The 16,348-nt window shown below is 43.9% G+C and overlaps 1 protein-coding gene across 2 annotated transcripts in view, besides 2 other annotated features; it reads left to right on the forward strand.

Moving 5' to 3' along the window:
- The window catches only part of CLSTN2 (calsyntenin 2), a 642,213-nt gene that overhangs the window by 399,256 nt on the left and 226,609 nt on the right, over positions 1-16,348 (forward strand). The gene's annotated exons all lie outside the window — the stretch shown is intronic.
- Positions 6,562-7,169: an enhancer, noted in NCBI's record as "OCT4-NANOG-H3K27ac hESC enhancer chr3:140059844-140060451 (GRCh37/hg19 assembly coordinates)". NCBI's record gives its function as "activates a minimal SCP1, AML or CMV promoter by ChIP-STARR-seq in primed H9 embryonic stem cells {active_cell/tissue: H9 hESC(primed)}" and the evidence as "EXISTENCE:reporter gene assay evidence [ECO:0000049][PMID:30033119]".
- Positions 7,170-7,776: an enhancer, noted in NCBI's record as "OCT4-NANOG-H3K27ac hESC enhancer chr3:140060452-140061058 (GRCh37/hg19 assembly coordinates)". NCBI's record gives its function as "activates a minimal SCP1, AML or CMV promoter by ChIP-STARR-seq in primed H9 embryonic stem cells {active_cell/tissue: H9 hESC(primed)}" and the evidence as "EXISTENCE:reporter gene assay evidence [ECO:0000049][PMID:30033119]".

The raw sequence follows: 16,348 nt of genomic DNA on the forward strand, positions 1-16,348 counted from the left end.
ATTACTAGTACATTTGCTTTTCTGTGAATAGTGAGCACACAATATTTGCTAAAGAACTGCTCTGTGCCAGGCCCTGGACTGGACTGTGGAGTCACAGATGGAAGGACAGAGTCCCCACCTTACAGCACCTTATGAGGAGCCACATGAGGAGGCCCATCAACAAAAATAATTTCAATATGTTCTGCTAAATGACAGAATGAAGGGACATTCCTCCATGTGAAGCTGAAAGAAGGGTCACTAATTTATCCCAGAGCAATCAAGAAAGCTTCACAGAGGAGGGGGGCAACAGAAGTGGAGCGGAAACAGAAGGTGGCAGATAAGATGAGCCTTGGAGTTTGAGCTGAATGTCAACAGGCCGAAGTTGGAAGGAAGGTGTGGGAGTCAATGGGCAATCAGGCTTGAAGCCAGTCCAGCAATCTGGGAAGCTGACCCTGGAAATCAACCTTATATTTACCCCCAGAACCTCAGGAATGTGCGGTCATCGTTACCATTTGTTGCTCCCTCTTGGACAGGCAAACACAGAGCCTTGTCTCCAGGGGAGCTGGCTGAGTCCAGGAGGGTATAAATCTCCATAGAGGAATGGCAAAGGGGGGCTTTTAAGGGAGCGACTGGATCCTTACCCTGGCCAGACATTTCTTTGGCTGAAGGTTGCCTTGGTGGGGCCTCAAAAGCTGGAGAATCTTCACCCTCTACCTGATAAAGGCTGCTGCATCTCCAGCTCTGTGAGTAGTAAGTTGGACCCTGGTCTTGATGAAAATCCAAGCATGGGATGGGCAGCCTGCCTTGGCCATCCAGGCCCTTTGGACCTGGTGACCCATTTGGTGGCAGGAAGTGGAGTCAAGGCACAAAATTACCCATTTAAGAATCGTGTACTATATGGTGGTAGTAGTTAAAGAAATATAAATTTCGGTACCACCTTCTATTCTTAAAAATAGTTGATTATGGCAGGCAGCAGGTAGGGAAGTTATTGAGGAAACTCAGAGATGTGTGCATTTGCTCAGAAGATGTGAAAGGCCAAAAAAAAAAAAGCCCCACTGACCCTGGAAGTGGCTATTATCTGACCTGAGTCAAAAGGCACAGTGCAGCCCCCAGTTCTGGGGCCCTCCCCTCCTCCACAGGACCTGGGTCTGCAATATCCTAAGACATAAAAGACAGCTAGGGTTTCAAAGAGAGTTGAAGACAGAAGTCAGATTTCAAGCCTTGGAGACTACATTTCTCACTGATTACTATTATTTGTAATAAAGACAAGGGAGAATACAAGTACTTACAAAGATCTTTCCAAGTATCCGCTGGTTCCTGCGATGCTAAAATTAATTCAATCATACACCTGTAATTTTCGAGCCATGGGCTTAAGGAAGTCAATCCTTCAGAGAGGAGAGGAAGAAATGAACTAACAAAAGCCTTGAATGTGGCTGTGTGCATGTGTATGGCAGTGGAGAGGTGGAGTGTCCCTAATGGCCTTCTTTCATCTCATCTGCACTGCTGTTAGGATCCCTCCCGTCCCATAAAACTGGGGCTCCAAGCCACACCAAGTCTAGGTTAAACTAGACACCAGAAAATTGCTCTTTAGTCTTTTGTAGTGTCATGGTTGGGGCTTTGGAATCACTTGAAAAACTAGGATGAAGGAGCCGATTACTGCTCTGTTGATTACTGGTAAATCTGTTGTCAATTGGCAGTTATTTGTGGGTCACATACTGGTGACTCAGGTTATTGATGAATGAGTTATTGATGATCAGTACTAGCTACCATGGAATGCTGACTGTGTGTTGGGCACCGTGAAGGCATTTTAAACATTTTATTTCATGTAATCCTTATAGTAGCCATATAGAACTGATATTCATTTCTCCATTACACACAGGTGGAAACCAAGCTCACAAAGCAGCTCTGTAGTAGAGACAGGATTTAAACTCAGGTGGAACAACCAATTACTCAGAATTTCTGGAGCCCAGGGCAACAGAGAAGGAGATGAGGCTGGACTATGGTTAAGGAGGAATCATGAAGGATCTTGAGCACCCTTCTAGGGGTCTCAGAGTTTCTCATTCCTGGTTTTTCAGGTTCAGAGAATCTCCTGAGGTGTGCAAGCCCCAAGGCATGGCAGAAGTCTCTCACTGTTTAGCACCCAGATTCTGGGGCTCCGTCTGTCATAGAGACCCCACCTAGCCAGTGTGGGGTTGGGAACTTACCCTCTGCCAAGCACACAGACACCCCAGCTTTCATCAGCCTGTCAGAGCTGGCATAGACTTGCCAAGACTTTGTTGAAAACCAACTGCTTTCAATGTAATAAAAGCCAAAGTCCTGGAGGGGAGAGCTTTTGTATCTTTTTTCATGGAACCATTTGCTGCTGCTCTGTGGATTGTGCTGCAGAGAACTGGTTGCCAAAGGCTTTTTGGCATTCACTGGACAATGGGCTAACGGGGCTGCGTCACAGCTTCACAGGTGAGGGAGGGGCTAATGGTTCTCATTGTCCTTATGCTCCCATCCCGCCCCACCTTCCCCACACCACCAATAATTCAAGAAGATGAACAGGTGAGGGGAGAACTGAGCAGCTGTTTCCTCTCCATCAGTAGCAATTCTTCAGTCTCTGGAGGGCCGCTGCATCACTTGATGCTCAGCAGGCTGGATTACAGGATCCAGATTTCAGGAATGTGGGGCTTACTTCTTGGGAGCTGTCACTCAGCCTTTCTAATTCTAGAGCCTCAGTAACTGCCCATTCTAGGTTGTTGTATATATTTATTTCTTGGATCCGTTGAAACAAACACAAACTGGTTAGCTTCCACTACAGAAATTCATTGGCTCTTGAGCCTGGAAGTCCAAGATCAATGTGTTGTCACATTTAGTTCCTTCTGAGGGCTGTGCAAAAGGATCTGTTCCAGGCCTCTCCCTTAGCTTCTTATAGCCCCAGACATTCCTTGGCTTGTCAATGGTATTCTCCCTGTGTCTTTATATTGTCTTCCTTCTTTACATTCTGTCCCTTTACATTGTGTCCAAATCTCCTCTTCTTTTAAGGACACCAGTTATATTGGAATAGGGCCCACCCCAATGACCGTATTTCTACTTAATCACCTGCAAAGACCCTATTTTCAAATAACATTACATTCACAGGTACCAGGGAGTTAGGATTTCTTTCAGGGGACACAGTGCAACACATGACAGTTAAGATGCTGCCTTCATGCCTGAATCCGCATGGGAGGAAGTAGGTATTGGTAGGTGTCACAGCTAATGGAGATACCACCAGGTCATGGGGCTGGCCTTGCCTTCAGTAGGATTTCTTGAGCCCCAGATTAGGTTCTCAACTAAAGCATCTCTGCAGGGGTGTCATGGAAACTGAGACTCCACCAGCTGATTATTTAATCAGCAATGCCGCCTTCAGAAGTCTTTGGATACTAATTGAGCCCTTACTCATGGGCTAGAATTAGTTTATGGGGTTTATATGTATTAACTGATTTAACCCTTATAACTTCCACATGGGGCAGAGACTAGCATGATGCCCAACTTACTAAGAGAGCAACTCTCTTGTCTGGAGTCATGGAGCTAGGGAGTGATAGAGCTGGGGGGAAACAAAGGCACTCTGGATCCAGGACCCAAGCTCTTGATCTTAAATTATTGAAAATGCTAATTTCTAGGCTTTTTCCCTCAGAGTATATCTGAGTTGGGCCCAGGAATCTGAAGTTTAAGAGCACTTTCTGATGCAGAAGGTCATTGACCTTTGGGCCCTGGGACAGCACCAGCACCCTGGTTTTCTTTCTCTGACTGATCTCTCTCTCTCTCTTTCTCTTTGTGCTCCCCTCTCCTTTAAGAAACTTAGTGATAGATCTCCATCTGCATCCACTCCACTTTCTGCTCCGTACTGCAGCCAGTGAAATCTATTTGAAATGCAAGTTTAGGGTCATAAGTCTGTCTGTGATGCCGTAGCTCTTAGAATAAAATCTGAATCTATAATATCACCACAAGGGCTTCTGTAAGTCGACCCTGCTTATGCCTGGGTTCAAGTCTCAGCTCTATCAATGCTCTACAGCCAGTGTTTTTAGCCCTCGGAGCCTCATCTATAAAGGAAGAGTAATGCCATCTTTCCCACAAGGGTGGCAGAAGGAATGAAATTGGGAAATACACATAAAATGTCCAGTCCCCCCCCGGCCTCAGTAGTGCTCAGTGAACGGTGCACTCAGAATTGTCAGGTGTTGTGTGGCACTAAGCTTTTCAGAGAGCTCTTATTCGTGGGGACCCTGTGAGATCGTCTGATAACTTTACTGCATGGGCCTGGTCACTAGTTTGCACAAGGCTTTTCCTGCGTGAGGCCTAGTGGAACACACATCTTGGAGACCAGAAGGGGAAGTGTTGGTGGTCCTTCTTCCAGACCTGAAGATGCTCAGTGAGCAGGTGCAGCACCCTCCTTGCCCCCTTATAGCCTGGCTAGCTGCTACCTTAATCCAAAATGCACTGAGTTTATCTGTGTTTGTAGACACCGGGGTGGGCTTTATGGGCTGTTATCTAATGAGCTGGGGAGCACAGATGAGTATTCCCGCCGCCTGACACAGACCCACATAGGCTGCTCCACTAGGAGGGAGTAGGAATGTGTCATGCTGCGCAGTGGCTCACCTGGGTGAAGCTGCCGTGTGCTGGCAGACGTGACCCACAGCCACACCATCTGCTCCTTGGATGCTGGCTCATGTGTGGGCTCAAGGTGGACAGTCCAGGTTTAAGAATGGTTCTCAGAACGTTGGTACCTTGTCTGTACCATAAAGGGTTAGATCAAAGGTTCTCAGGGAAATTTTTTCCATTTGGACTATTTGTGCTTTTTTGAAATTTCAAGAATCCTTCCCCCATGACCAGTGTTCTGTGTGGAGGGTAGAAGAATGCTAGCAGACTGATTCTCTCTCTCTCTCTCTCTTCCCCACCTCCTTTCTCCAAGGAAATGGTATTTAGACCAGAAGAGGCCCTTTGGAATTATAGTGAGATTTGTGAAGAGTAATTACAGGGATTTAATTTGCTAATCACTTACTCTTAGAATCTCAAAGCTAGAAGGGCCCTTCCATCATAGTGGTTTTCAAATCTGACTGTGCATCCATGTCACCTGGGGAGCTTAAAAAGCTACCAATTTCCAGGCCATAAACTCGACCTACTAAATGAGATCCCTGGGGCTGAGAACCAGGAATCTTTGCATCCAACCTGGTGGTGTGCTACCTCAGAACCATGGGGGCCTTGAAACAGAGGCTTAGATGTTGTGTCCTTAGCGAAATTACATTCGCCCTGTGGTTCCCCAAGGTACACATAGAGCCACAGATACCACTCAAATACTCAAACTATGCAAAAACCATTACACATGACATGGTTAATGAACACTGTTATAGTGGCCGAACTGTGCTTAGTCATATACCCATTTGTTCTTAGTGTTCTTATCTCTAGAAGGTTGACTTAGTCCAAGCAACAACACTGCCTTATGCAGGAAAAAGAGCCCAGGTTTTAGAATTGGATGTGGGTCCTGACACTGGCTCCACCACACACTAAGTGTTATTTGGATGTGTGACTTTGGGCAAGTCACAGATATCCCTCAGAGCCCCAGTTTTCTCTCCTGAAAATGAGCGCATGATCTTGCAGGGTTTCCATGAGATTTGAAAGAGATGGTACTTGTGAAGGGAATGGCATATAATATAATGGTACAAGTCTAGGCTCCTCTCCCTCCCCTTCTCCTATAGGCTGCATGTATCCTTTATAATATTGTTTAAACTAGTCCTTTCCTAGCAGATGTCCTCCTACAATATGCATTTTATCTTAGCCCAGGCTAATTTGTAAAGTACGCCTAAGTTTAAGATGTTCTAATGTACTTCGTACATATACATCACCTTCCCCTGGTTATGGAATGTGATAGTAATGTATGCCGGCCAGCTTTGCAAATGAAGGCCAGAGTGGGAATGAAAAGGATTAAAAAACATAAGTGTAGAATAACCTTTATCTGGGTTAAAAAATACAAATAATCTGTATACCCATAGAATGATTGTATATGCAAAGAGAGGGCTATAAACCATGTTGTTAACAGTAGTTATGCCTGGAAGACACAATTATGAATGATTTTTCCTTTCCTTTTGTTGTTTAATAGACTTTGTTTTTTTAGAGCTGTTTCAGATTGACATAAAAATTTCAAATGATGGTACAGAGAGTTATCATAAACCCTACTCCCAGTGTACCCTATTATTAACATCTTATACTGATGTGGTACATTCGATATAATTAATGAGCTGATATTTATACGTTATTGATAGCTGTAGTCAGCACCTCATTCAGATTTCCTAACTTTTTACCTAATGTCCTTTTTCTGATCCAGGGCCTCATTCAGGACAGCACATTCCATTTAGCTGTCACGTCTTCTTAGACTCCTGTTGGCAGTGATAATTTCTCAGGCCTCCTTGTTTTTGATGACTTTGATAGTTTTGAAGTATACTGGTCAGGTATTTCGAAGAATGCCCCTCAACTGGGACTTGCCTCATGACTTTTTCATGATTAGATGAGGTTATGGGTTTTGAGGAGGAAGACCACAGTGGTAAGTGCCATTTTCATCACATTATATCAAGGTACTTGACTTACCACTGTCGACGTTGACCTTGACCACCTGGTTGAGGTAGTGTTTGTTAGATTTCTCCGGCATAAAATTACTCTCCCTGACCCTTTTCTTCCATGTGATACTTTTATTTCCTTTTTATTGCTGCATATTATCTAAGGTCCCTTTTTCCCCCAGTGAGCATAATTACTTGTATAATCAAAGAGAAAGGAGCTCTTTTTATTTTGGAAAACATTGACAGTCTCTTTAGACTTTCATCCTTTCCTTATATTTTGTCTTGGCATGGTTTTCAACACTATTGCACAGTCTTCCTCTAGAAGTCTCAGCTGCGAATTTGGCCACTGGCCTTGATTCCTGCTAAGTGTGCCTCTGACCTCGTCCCCATGCTGCCTGCCTTGCAGAGGGTGTATCCGGCAGAGCAACTTCCAATAGTGTCGATGGTGTCAGAATGAGCAGGCCCATAAATCAGCCAGGGAGGCTGCACCCTCACTGTAAAAGTGAAGGGGACTTTCAGCCGCATTTTCTTCTTGCTGTTGAAAGTAAACAGGGCATAAATCTTGCTGAAGAAGAAGGTTTCTATCCAGCCACCTGCAAACACCCCAGCAGTTTGGAGGACAGTCGGCTTACACCTTCTTCCACTCAAAACACAGCACCCAGCTCAGGACCAGGCACACTGTGTTCAAGTATTGCTGGTAGTGGGCCCCCGGGGGCCCCACACCTCCAGTGGCTTTTTGTCAAAGAAGTTAGTCTGCGATACATTGAAATTAGATAGCTTTTACTACAGTTACAATGTCCTGGCCACATGCAGCAGGCACTGTCCTAAAATTTACTATCCTTAGTGAATATATATTTTATATGTGTATATATATAATATTTTTTCAAGAGAAGCAGTCCTCCAGAGTGAGTCTGACAGCAGGTGGTTAATTGCTCTGTTTTAAAGGGAGCCAGGTGTGGAAGGCAAGGTTCAGTGAGGACATTGTGAGGGCTGGGCACCCTGGGGTAGACAACCTGCTTCACTTATTTAACATCTGAAAGAGAAGAAAAAGAGTCTTCAGTTATACCTTGTCATACATAGCCTTGTCTTCCTGGCCCAGGTAGCATTCCTTTGTGAAGATGGAAGATTCTTACCAAGTTGCCCAGCTATGAGTAGTTACTATCTTCTAAAGCAGACTCTCTCAACCTCGAACTATTGACATTACGGACTGGGTAATTATTTGTTATCCAGGGACCGTCCTGTGTATTGCAAGATGTTTAGCAGCACCCCGGCCCCTGCCCACTAGATGACAATAGCACCACTCCCTTAAGTTGTGACACTGAAAAATGTATCCAGATTGCCAAATGTCCCTTGGGGGACAAAATCGCTCTCACTTGAGAACCACTTTTCTAAAGGGATGAGTATCTTTCTAGGTCCTGTACAGTGAAACATATCTGTACTTCTTTCATATGCTTTTGTTTCTGCTTGGGGTCTGGAAGATACACTTCCAGCTTGTGTAGGGCAGATGACTTGCTCACCTTTCACTGCAGAGAGCACAAAGGAAGACTAGGGAGACAGCCCCCTCTCATGTTCCTATTCCAGTTATCTATTGCCATGTAACAACGCATAATGAGAGAAAGCAATGATCATTTCTGGATTTTGTGGACTTTAGAAGAAACACAGCAGGGATGATTTGCCTCTGCTCCTGATGTCTGGGGTCCTCACTAGGAAGACACAAAGGCTAGGGGTAACCTGAAACCAGGAACTGGAATTGTCCAAAGCTGTCTCCATGCACAGGCCCAGGAGTTGATACTGGCTGTCATCTGGAACAAAGCTGGGACTGTGGCCAGAACATCTTGCAGCCTCTGCATGTGGTTTGGGCTTCCACAGAACATGGCAGCCTCAGGGCACTCAGATGCTTACATGGTGTCTCAGGGCCCCAAAGGCTAGTATCACAAGAGAACCAGGTGGAAACTATGTTGCCTTTTATGGCCAAGGCTTAGATCTCATGTGGCATCATTTCCAATGTGGTCACAAGCCCTCCCAGACGGGAGGAGTAGTCAAAGTCACATTGTATGAAGAGCACATAGGCAGGGTACGTTTTTGTGGCCATCTTCTCTAGTTTCTTCCCTGACTTTATCTTTCTGTGGAATTTGTTTCCCATACCTCATCCCATGGGCCATGGCTCTTGGCTCTTATCTCCCAGGCTCACTGCTCTCCTTTCATTCACCACAGAGGCTGCTCCAGAGTGCCCTGAAAGAGTGAAACGAAAACTACCCCCTAGCTCTGCTAGAAGAGGATGAGGCTGGAGTTTTGTTAGGTACATTCCCTCTGAATATCATCAGTGGCTCTGAGAACCTTTTAATTCTCAATTCCCTGATCCTAATAATAGCTAACTCTACTATGCCTTAAGAAAGCTCATTTCAAGCCAAACCACAACACTGGTTACCATGAGGTTAGCTCAACAAAAAATTGTGGTGCTGGTGTACTTGACATAAGATTGCACGTAAGTCTGTACTTTTAAAAGACCATCTTAAAGAGTCAACTTGTATCTTCCAGGGACTATCAATGCAGTGCATAAACAGAGAGCTTAATAAATGTTTACTGAGGAAGTATTTCTGATCTCAGTGACTGGGCATTTTATTGTACCCAATATTATCTATATTAGAAGCTTGTGAGATGTTTCTTAAGCCTGGAAGTTCCAGACAAAATATTATTATAATGAGTTTGACTTTTCTTTCATGTTCATCCAAGTTCTAGTTACACTGAGTAAGTTTATACGGTTATTCTAACTTGAAAGAGTTTCTAGGCTGTGACCATAGCAAAAATTTTGCTTATGAATGTTTTGATCCAGTGCTGCAAGTAGTCTTTGTTGCTGATGTATGTGTAGCTCACTGGCCTTGGCAGAGGACTAGCTGGTTTGGTAATTCAACCGTCTTTACCGAGGAGCTGCTGTGTGCTCAGAACTGTGCTAGGTGCCAGGCACGGATGACTACCCAAAAGAAGGCAGTCCCCGCCCCAAGCCTCAGAGTCATTTTTGCTTCCTTTGGCTCTTTTCTGTTTGTTCCAGTTGGCTATAATTGGCAGCTTGTTTCTTCTCCAGCGTCCTCTCTTCCTATACCTCACCTTACCTGCTATAGTTTCAGTAATGCTACATAACAAGCTACCGCAGCGTTCACTGACATACAACAGTAAGCATTTATTTACCCCTCCCATGTGTGTCATCATCTGGAGTTTAGGCTGAGCTCAGTGGAGATTAGATTCAAGTCTGCTCTACACACAGCTCATTGTGCTGTGCCTGGAGGTTTCCAAGACATGATGCTGTCATGGCAAAATGGAGGAGCACAGAGGACAGGGCTGACTGCACAAGCACACATTAAGCCTGTGCTCACGTCATGTCCGTGAACATGCCAATGGCCAAAACAAGTTGTATTGCCACTCCAACATCACGTTGCATGCCAGAGACAACCCCAGGAGGCAGGAGGAGAGTGTGTAAATATTTCCTGAAGAGTAATCTAATCTATCACACCCAGTCCCTTTTCTATAAGTGCCATGGTCTTTCTGGCCTCTAGAGTTTTTGTGTGCCATCCCTTTGACCTGAAATACCCTCCCACTGGGGGTCCAACTACCGCACTCTCTGACTAATTTCTACTCATCTTTTGAGATTCCAGCTAGTGGCCACCTCCCCTGGGGTACCTTCCCTGATGACACACTTAGGTTCCTTGCCTCTCCTGTGGGTCACATAACAGCTTGCACATATAAACCTCATCACACTGCATATATTGAATTGACCTGTCTTTATCTCCCCCACCACTCCATGAATGTTGACCCACATCTTATCACCATTATTTCCCCAGCATGCAGCACAGTGCTTAGAGGTTTTGAAGAGCAAACGCATGCTGTGTTAGTGGTGCTGGGTGAGGGGATTGCGACTTCTCTACACTGATGGCTCTGGAGAAGCACAGAAAGAAATGGGGCTCTGGCATTTCCAAGTGGGCAGGCCATTTGGAATGAACCATACGAGCCGTCTGGGCACATCTGAGTGTATCCAAAAAATGCCATCTGCTTTCAGGGCATGTCGAGACTAGGAAATCAGTGTAGACCATGTGGCTTATGTTCTGTTCTGTATGGTGTCATATCCTCATTTGCCCTTTTGCCTTTTGTTTCCCTCATTTTTCCTTACATGAGGAGTAGGTTTGTTTCTTGCCAGTTTGTTCCCCAAAAGTAGTTTTGGGGGATCCAAGATCCAAGACAGGGTGGCATTGAGTGGATATAGCCTTTTTTTCTTTTTTTTTTTTGAGACAGAGTTTCACTCTTGTTGCCCAGGCTGCAGTGCAATGGCGTGATCTCGGCTCACTGCAACCTATGCCTCCCCGGTTCAAGCGATTCTCCTGCCTCAGCCTCCCGAGTAGCTGGGATTACAGGCGCCTGCCACCATGCCCAGCTAATTTTTTGTATCTTTAGTAGAGATAGGGTCTCACTATGTTGACCAGGCTGGTCTCGAACTCCTGACCTCAGGCGATCCGCCTGCCTCAGCCTCCCAAAGTGTTGGGATTACAGCCATGAGCCACCGCGCCCGGCCGGATATAGCCTTTTTTTATGCAGGATTTATCATTGGTGATTATGTGTGGAATTTTTTTTTTTTTTTTTTTTTTGGTACAGGGCATGGAGCCAGAAGCATGGAGCAGAAGGCCGTGCATGTGTGTAAAGGCAGTAGCATGTGTGTGGCTGCCACTCAGTTTTGTTTGGATTTTTCCAGAGGCAAATGGGTAGGTAGAGGGAACAGACTTGCTAGCTGTTTTTAATCCACTTCAGACTTCAGCTTCTTCAGAATGGAGCTGGAGATGGGAACGTATATGTTTGCCGGATGGTACTTTAAAGTCACAGCTGCTCCTAATTTAAAGGAATCCAAAGCCTTTCGCTGTGAATGATCATTCTGAAGGTAACTCAATTATCTGTATTTGCTGGTTCAATATGGTACACTTGGATGTCATAGCCCATCGTCTCAGCTTACTGCAACCATGCATGGCTTCCCATGCTGGGTCTCCATCCAGAGAAGTGAGTGGAGAGATTCAGAAGTCTCTTCCAAATCAATACACAGAATATGAGATATGGCAGGGGGTGGCACAGCCCCAAACCCTGCTGTCTCTTTTTGTGCCATTTCTAATTCCCCTAGGCTTGCAAATGTTCAGATGATTCTCTTTATCTGAAAGGTGTGTATTCTATGCCAGTCGAGTGAGCTATAAAATTCATCAGTTACCACACTGTTTATTAACATTTATAATTTCATATTTGCCAAGTCCCCTCAGCCACCTTGCATATAATAGCCCAAACAAGTTCTTTTGGGTATTCTCATTTAGGAAAGGGCTACAGATAGCTAGAATGAGAATGTATGGAGTAGGTACAGCATGTATCTGGCACCCTCATCTTGTTTCTGGTGACCCATACTCTGGTTGTTGCTCCCTTTCAACCCACTCCGTGTAACTATACCCTGTTCTGAGATCTGACTTCCCATGTTTCCAGATCTTCCAGGCAGTGTTCCCAGCAGTGGGCAAATGCTTTAAACAGAGTTGTTCAATGAACTTGTGGGATGAAATTATGAGGATTAAGTAAGCAAGTTTAGGAACAAGAGTCAAATATACAGAAACTCTGGACAAAGTCATTATTGATCCTTATCCAAAATTGGGGCTGAAAACTTACTTTTCAGTCTCTTTTCACAGTCAGCCTCTCCCTTTCCATAGTGACTCTTGGCCAGTGACTCATGCATCTCATGGTGCGCCCCTGCAAAAATGAGATAATAACAACCTTGAAGGTGGTTGGGAGGAGTGTGGGAATGGATAAAGAGGGAAGTGTATGTGGTTCTTGGTAGATGCTCCAGAGTCTGGAATAATGGTTAATATTGGGAACTTGCATCTCCCAATCCACTTACCTTACCTAAACTAGTAGCACAGATTTCCCTGTAGTAGTGCCTTAGCCTACTGTGCTGTTCTTTACTTCTAATGACTAGATAGTAAATACTGAAAGAATGTCTTTTCTAACTTTTATTTTTCACAACTTTTCTCTCTGAGGAGGGATTTCAAGGCTGAACTAAAGTTTTGTTTTATTTTCTTTAAAGGGGCCCAGGTTCTGTTTTCTCCTGAGAGTCATACACACATTTTGAACAGAATTGTTTTTCTTGATGGTTTTCTCAATAAACACCACTGACTGAAACATGGAGTAAAATGTGTTATTTGGCATCTCCTACTAGACCAACAACAACAAGAAAATACATTTTGCTATTGAACTTTTCCTTGTTAAACAACAGAGGTTAGGTCATTTCCAGTGACATGGAATCTAAGAGAGGGTTTGGAATCTGAACAGGTTTGGCAGGACTGCTGAAACTTGAGCCCACTCTGGTTTTGTTTAATGACTGTTAACAAGGAGGTGCTCCAGAGCCCACCATACTGGTGAGCTCCAGACATTTCCAAAAGGCCTAAACCTGGTGTGAACATATTAACTCATCATGATTCTGCTGTTTTCTGAGCAGGCAAATTCAATAAAACACAAACTACAATGTGTTCTTCTTGTTGAACATGGCAGGAGCTCTGCATAGATAAGGCCTCAGTGGATTATTTCTCTTCTGGAGTCAACAGGGAATGAGCCATCCTAGCAAATATACTTTCACAATCTCCAGGTAGTACTTGCTTTCCCCTCACTCTCAGGAATTATTGTTAATGGGTCGATTGTGTGTTCTTTTCACATGAATATTCATCAAATCATCATAGATCTACTACATATATACTACAGTACCCTATCCTAATTTGCCTTTTCAGGGAAAAATGCATAGAGATGGAATTGTTAAAGAATTTATATGTGGAATCTCTACATTGCTTTTAATCAAGAAAGGAAAATAAAGTTTTACCCAATAGACAAGTCCAATCAACTAATGCTGGCAGCCTGGAGAGCTAGGTTGAGAAGGATTCTGAGGCTGAAAATTGGCTAAGCAGGAAGGATGCTCTGATGAGTTAGCATTGACTATCACTTGGAATGTTATTGATTATCACTTGGAAAGTTAGCATTGTCTGTCAGTTGGAAAGGAAGAGTAATGGCACAGGTACTGAGTGTTAGCTCTACCTCCTAGACATACAAAGTTTACCAATTGTGGTCAAGTATGGAGCTTTGACCTTGGAAATGTTCTTTCCCCACTCTGGAAATGGTAGAGTTACCAACATGGAAGTAGTGGCTCTACTTCTTTGGATTCAGTTTCTCAGAAAGAAACCACATTTTGCAGTCTAGTCCCATAAGCTTGGATGAGCTGAATTCTAGAGCCTCATTTCTTCGTGCATTGAATCCCAAAACCAAGTTTTCCAACTTTTAAAACATGTATTTCAGCTTAAAAGGGCTTTTTCTTGCTCTGATCGCCCTTATATTCATGCCGTGATTTAGAGTCAATCAGCAAAGACTATTTTCAATTTCCTTATGTTCTTCTTTCTTCATCCTTGTGTCCAGGCCAGGGCAGTACCCCCTACCCCAGTCACTAACCACCATCAGGCATCAGCATCAGTCTGCTCTCCCAAGGGTATCTGCTATTAGTCACATACATCTCAACATGAGTTTCACTATTTTTCTTTCTCTTAGGGAATTATTTTAAAATCTATCCAAGGACTGAAAGATTTTCCCCAATTACAGGAAGGTAGGCCTCAGTAGTGGGTGGAGGATAAAATTTCATACAAGAAGACCTTCATATTATGCTCCAAATCACACCACATATGTAATAGCCCAGTCTGCCTAATATGTGAGGCCAGCCCTGCTTCTATTTCCTGTACTGGAGGAAATTCCTTCCCCGAAGGTTCCACTGTGTCAAAGATACACATCCACAAACACATGCACAGAGATGTTCTCTGTAGCTTAGGCAGTCTCTCCCCTGTTCTCCCAGTCCCCTGCTTCTGGCACAAATAGAATCCCCATGACTTTGCCAAGACTGGTTGTCATTACTGTGTGATATGGTTTGCCTGTGTCCCCACCCAAATCCTCATCTTTAATTATAATCCAAATTGTAACCCCCACATGTTGCAAGAAAAATCTCATGGGAGGTGATTAGATCGTGGGGGTGGTTCCCCCATTCTGCTCTTGTGATAGTGAGCGAGTTCTTATGAGGTGGTTTTATAGGGGGCTTCTCCCCAGTTCCCTCTGTACTTCTCTCTCCTGCCATCATGTGAAGAAGGATGTGTTTACTTTCACTTCCTCCATTATTGTAAGTTTCCTGAGGCCTCTTCAGCCATGCAGAACTGTGAGTCAATGAAACCTTTTTCGTTTATAAATTACCCAGTCTCGGGCAGTTTTTATAGCAGCGTGAGAATGGACTAATGCACTATGGTTGACTGTTTTCTTCATTTTATATCATAAATGAGCATCTGCTTTGTCACTGGGTCAGAACCTAATTACTTTTAAAGTGTGGTAAAGGAAGTTAGTATAGGAATAAAGGCTCGTGTTCTCTTTTGTAAAATGAAAATCCTTTTGCAATGGGGATAATCCATTTATTGATTCAAGAAGCATTTGTTTGTTCCCTTAATACAATCCTGTAGATTCTTAAGAAGACAGTAGATGACATTCCAGTGGGGATCCAATCTATGGCTGCAGTATTGGGTGTGGTATGAGGGGGTGGGAATCGCCAGATCTAAAATCTGTGAATCTGTGAAATCTTTGAAATGGTTGCTCAGACATTTGAAAGTTCAGGTGCTTGAATCAAATTATAAGGCAACAGGACCCAGAACTGAAACAACAAATGCCCATTTACAATCTTTGCTTGCTACCTTTTCACCTTGGCTCCACGACAGTTTCCTCTTCTAACAAGACTCTAAAACTGCATGTTGCTAGCATGGAGTGAGCACCCACCCACCTGTTTCACCATCACTCTGTCCTGATGGCAGGCTTCATAACAGAAGACAACATCTTATATCATGGTATCTCTATCCAAGACCACCTCTGACATCCTCCCCTCCACCACCTTGTTGACATCTCTCATAGATTGAATGCGTCATCTGGATGACAGTTTTTGAAACTTTGTCTGAAGTCCAGAAAAAAGAGTCAGGAGTTAGACAAAGGCTGAGGGTTAATGAACCTCTTTTTACTACACGCACACCTTGCAATCTCTGGCTTTGACAGCCCACGTGATTCTGCCTCTTGCCTTGTGGCAGATTAGAGTGGGGGTGGACAGGAAGAAAGATAATAACTTTGGAAGGCTGAATGGAGCACATTTCAGAAGACCAAATCTTTCTTTAATGGTGCCAAGAACACTACCTGCCAGAAATCCACGCTAATCTCAGAAAATAATAATAGCTAGAGGAGTTTCACTCATGCAAAATGAACTTGCAAATGCAGATATTATGTGGAAACTAAAAAGCGAGCTACAGAATTCTGCCTCCAACACAAAGCTTTGCCATGGCCATTGGGTTCCTAAAAGTCAAAGAGTGAGGAATTAGATCTAATGAAGAAGATGGGATGTGGGGTAGGGAGGGGGCATGAATTGTGAAAGCACCTATGCATGTTTTGTCTCCAAAGTAAAACACTGAAGAACATACTAAATAATGAGCATACCAATGACATCTTAAAATGGCAATAGTGGGTACTTCCCCTGATTGGGTTTCATTTACTCATTTATTCATTGCTTGCTAGAAACTTCTTGAACTCTCCCTTCCCAGATGTTTTGATAAAATGCTTCTAAGTTCATATATATCTTTTGTAGATGGCATGCATGTAATGAGGCACTTACTTATTTTGCTACATTTAAGTAAACAATGATTTTCTGCCTTTGACCCCAGGTTACTGAAGCCTGGGGCCCC

This window comes from Homo sapiens, chromosome 3 (assembly GCF_000001405.40).
Source record: "Homo sapiens chromosome 3, GRCh38.p14 Primary Assembly".
Classification (NCBI taxonomy): Eukaryota; Metazoa; Chordata; class Mammalia; order Primates; family Hominidae; genus Homo; species Homo sapiens.